Source organism: Homo sapiens, chromosome 1 (genome assembly GCF_000001405.40).
Source record: "Homo sapiens chromosome 1, GRCh38.p14 Primary Assembly".
In the NCBI taxonomy this organism is placed as follows: domain Eukaryota; kingdom Metazoa; phylum Chordata; class Mammalia; order Primates; family Hominidae; genus Homo; species Homo sapiens.
The window spans coordinates 61,481,101-61,485,902 of record NC_000001.11 but is presented as its reverse complement, the minus strand read 5'-3'; the positions used below and the strand labels follow the sequence as shown (position 1 = coordinate 61,485,902).

General features: G+C 46.3%; 1 annotated feature.

Annotated features, from left to right (window-relative positions):
- Nucleotides 3,603-4,802: an enhancer, noted in NCBI's record as "P300/CBP strongly-dependent group 1 enhancer chr1:61946773-61947972 (GRCh37/hg19 assembly coordinates)". NCBI's record gives its function as "activates an origin of replication core promoter dependent on BRD2, BRD4, P300/CBP, MED14 and CDK7 cofactors, with strong dependence on P300/CBP, by STARR-seq in HCT116 cells {active_cell/tissue: HCT116}" and the evidence as "EXISTENCE:reporter gene assay evidence [ECO:0000049][PMID:35650434]".

Sequence of the window (4,802 nt, the reverse complement as noted above, 5' to 3'; positions counted from 1 at the left end):
CCAGAGATCACCATAGTTAACCTTTGCCTCCCACACACGGGCTGTCTTTATTTTTACTTTATCCATTGTCTATTTTTTAATCCATTGTCTATTTTTTTAAGTCACGATTATTCTTTGTATAATTGTCGTGTAATTGTCTGCTCCGCATTTCCTTATATAAGGCTATCCTGCACCACCATTCCATCTTCATAAACATACTTCTGTAACTGATGGCTGTAAATACTCTTGGCGCCCTATTGACTTGTGCATGTGACATTCTAAAACATGTAATAGTTTGCTTAATCAGGTATATTAGTCCTTGTGTTGCTATACAGGAATACCCGATGCTGGATAATTTATATAGAAAAGAGGTTTATTTGGTTCATGATTCTGCAGGCTGTATGTGAACCACAGTGCCAGCATCTGCTTCTGGTGAGGGCCTCAGGGAGCTTCCAATTATGGTAGAAGGCAAAGGAGGATCCAGCATATCATATGACGAGAGAGGGAGCAAGAGAGGAGGAGTCAGCCTCCTTTGAACAACCAGCTGTCATATGAACTAACAGAGAGAGAACTCACTTGTTACCATGGGGAGGGTACCAAGCTAATTCATGAAGGGTGTGCCCTCCGTGACCCAAACACCTCCCACCAGGCCCCATCTCCAATACTGAGGATCACACTTCAAAATGAGATTTGAAGGGAACAAACTTCCAAACCACATCGCCAGGCATCCATTTTTTGGATACTGAAGTTGTTTTCTATCCTTTTGTATGATAAACAAAACTATAGTTTTATTTGCGTAGCCGTCTTTATTGCCAGCTTCCCATGTAGACCCCTAATTATGTCCTTGGGATAAATTAACTGCATGCACATTTTAAAGGTTTTGACACATGTGGTCAAGCTGCCCTCAAAATGTTTCCAGTTTATACTCTCAGGCATCCTTTGCCACTGTCACATGAAGAATCACCAGCTTCCCACCTTCAGGTTACAGAAAAATCAACTGCTTGCACCCCCAGCATTGCAGAGAAACTGACAGCACCTGTACCCCTAGCACTGCAGAGAAACCAGCTGCAATCTACACCCCCAGCACTGCAGAGAAACTGACAGCACCTGCACCCCCAACACTGCAGAGAAACCAACTGCAATCTACACCCCCAGCACTTCAGAGAAACTGACAGCACCTGCACCCCCAACACTGCAGAGAAACCAACTGCAATCTACACCCCCAGCACTGCAGAGAAACTGACTGCTCCTGCACCCCCAGAGCTACAGAGAAACCGACTGCAATCTACACCCCCAGCACTGCAGAGAAACTGACAGCGCCTGTACCCTCAGCACTGCAGAGAAACCGACTGCTCCTGCACCCCCAGAGCTGCAGAGAAACCAAATGCAATCTGCACCCCCAGCACTGCAGAGAAACCGGCTGCGCCTGCACCCCCAGCACTGCAGAGAAACTGACAGTGCCTGTACCCTCAGCATTGCAGAGAAACCAACTGCACCTGCAGCCCCAGCACTGCAGAGAAACCGACTGTGCCTGCACCCCCAGCATGTTAGAGAAACAAACCGCAATCTACACCCCCAGCACTGCAGAGAAACCAACTACTCCTGCACCCCCAGAGCTGCAGAGAAACCAAATGCAATCTACACCCCCAGCACTGCAGAGAAACCGACTGCTCCTGCACCCCCAGAGCTGCAGAGAAACCAAATGCAGTCTGCACCCCCAGCACTGCAGAGAAACCTGCTGCGCCTGCACCCCTAGCACTGCAGAGAAACTGACAGTGCCCGTACCCTCAGCATTGCAAAGAAACCAACTGCACCTGCAGCCCCAGCACTGCAGAGAAACCGACTGCTCCTGCACCCCAGCATTGCAGATAAACCGACTGTGTCTGCACCCTCAATATTGCAGAGAAAGCGACTGCCTCCACCCTTGGTTACTGCGGCAGATGCCTCCCTCCTCCTGCCCAGGGCTCCCTTTCCCCTGGGTTCTCCTTCCCATCCCTGCCCCAGCCTCAGGGCTTTTCCTCTATTAAGTGACCTCTCTTTCTCTAAGCTCTCTTCCACTACATATAAAAATGCTTGGCACTTGCATATTAAAAGAAAAGAAAAGTTCTGGACCTACAGGTTGGATTGCACCCATTCCTTCCTCCCAAAGTTCATATACTAAATCCCTAAACCCTAGTACCTCAGAATGTGACTGAATTTGAAGATAGGGTCTTTTAAACAAGGTGACTGAGTTAAAATAAGTCTATTAGGTGGGCCCAACTTCAATTTAGATGACGTCTTTATGAGAGGAAGAATTTGGGCACACAGAAAGAAAGCAAGGATGTGGATGCACAGAGGAAAGCTTGATGAAGATGTAGCGAGAAGGTGGCCATCCACAGGCTATGGAGAGAGACTGCAGAGGAAACCAAACCTGCCAACACGTTGATCTTGGACTTCCAGCCTCCAGAGCTGTGAGAAAATACATTTCTGTTGTTTAAGCCACCTAGTGTGTGGTATTTTCCTATGGCAGCCCTAGCAAACTAATACAACATCCTAACAGCCACTTCGATGACAGCCCCCATACAACCAAACATCTTGAACACGTTTGCTCTCACGTGCTTCATTCCTTTGCCCCTTCTCACTCAACAGCCCAATGCAGTCAGGCTTCTACCCCCTTTTTGGGAGACAGCTCCCACCCAGGTCACCAGCAGCCTCCACAGTAGTTACTCAGTGAACATCATGCCCAACATAGGTAAACACTGAATTCATGAAGAAGTAGTTGCTGTTGCTGTTACCGTTGTTTAAAAGGGGCCAGCTCAGTCAGCCAAATTAGGGTACAAGATAAGAAAGTAACCCAGGGGGTTGGTGGGGAAGTAGGGATGGTTAATAGGTACCGAAAAAATGAAAGAATGAATAAGACCTAGTATTTGATAGCACAATGGGGGGCTAAAGTCAGTAATAATTTAACTGGACATTTAAAAGTAATTAAAACAAGACAGTTGGATTGTTTGTAACACAAAGGATAAATGCTTGAGGAGATGGATACCCCATTCTCCATGATGTGATTATTACACGTTGCATGCCTGTATCAAAACATCTCAGGTACCCCAGGAATATGTACACCTACTATGTACCCACAAAAATGAACATTTTTAAAAATCTGTATTATTCTTTCCAGAAAGTGTGTTGGTATTTTTCAGTGTATACATAGCATAGGCATACACATTTGAGACTTATTTAGAAAATAGGATAGGCATGCACATTATATAGATTATTTGTAAAATACAGTGTGATACTGAAGCAGTCCTCACGGGGTTAACAAGCATTTTGGACAGGAATAGAATTATAATGAAGCATGAATCAGGCTGTGCTTTGGCTCAGTTCCTTGTAATGGAAAGTCGTGTAGCACTAGACACCGACCATTTGCATCCTCATTGTTCTTATAGGTAGGCTCTCCAATGTTATAATCATAAAGCTTTTAAGAATTGCTTAGGTTGTTTTTCAGATTCTGAATTCCAGCAGAACAGCTGAGGACAACCAGTCTGAAAACCCCCACGGTGGAACCAAATCAGCATGAGAATGCAATTTCTTCAACTCCCTGTCCCATGACTTCACCCTGCACCGTTTGACCAGTCGACGATCTCCACACTTCAGCCCACTCCAAAACCTTTAAAATCCCTAGCCCCAAACTCCTTGGAATGATACATGTGAGGTTTCCTCCCATCTCCTTGTTCAGCAGCCCCAGGATGAAACCTCTTTCTCTGCTGCAACCCAGTGTCTCAGCATATTGACTTGCTGCACATGGGGCGATGAACCTATTACAGTTACAATATCTTGGTCAATTTCCTCCCGGTCTTTTTTTCCCCTATGCTGAGGTTGTCTTCATGCTATAGTCTGCAGCGTATTCTCTGTACAATTATTTGGCACCCACCTTTCTTTCATTTTAGGAAACATTATAACCATTCCTCCTCCAGCTATATTCAGGCTATTTAAAAGCAGCATGTAGCTCACTGATCTTCCTGATTCTCCTTTCAGGTTAGGACCTCAGTTTCTGGTAGAGCCTTGGCCTCTATGAGGATCAAGACCAGTCAGTCAACAAGCACCCCCTGGACTATAAACCTTGTGCCCACCACACTCTTCCTCCCCCGACCTTCTACTCACTGCCCCACCTGCAGATGCATATTATGGTGAATTACTTTGATTTTTTATTTGCCAGGTGTGGCAATTGAGGGATTCCAAGGAATTGGCAAAGAAGTGAAATGCCATTCAGAAAGCAAGGTGAGTCAGGAACAGCTCTTGCAGCAAGCACCTGGCATGCACACGAGCTTTGAATATAGTGATGTTCCTTTCATCTGCTGGGTGGTTTCTCCCCTCTCAAAGGAGAGACTCTGAATGACCTTTCACAGACCCAGGGAGAGGTGGCTGGAGGAATTTGAAAGCAGATTTATGGACTCAAGACACAGAGATTCCCTGACTTGCTTGAGCAAAGTAGATGCAGCTTTGATGACAAAAGAGGAAGGAATTTGGATCCTATTTTAGGGTGTGGGTTGTTCCCATCATAGCCCCACGGGCACACAGTGCCAGGGTGGAGGTGGTAGGACGTGGAGGGACTTTCCTAACCAATCCTTCAACCACACTATACTTCCTGAGAACCACATGTCAGACCCTGAAAGGAGGAGAATGGTCTTGGACCCAAGAACACCAACCTGCTCTTCTCTGGAGGCTCTCTGTTCTCAATGTCCACTCCTGCCTCTGTAGCTTCGAGGTGGCTCCTTGGAAGCCCATCTCTCCCTTTTCCAGTACATTCTGTCCTCCTTTCCAGGCTCACTTGCTTTTCCAGCATG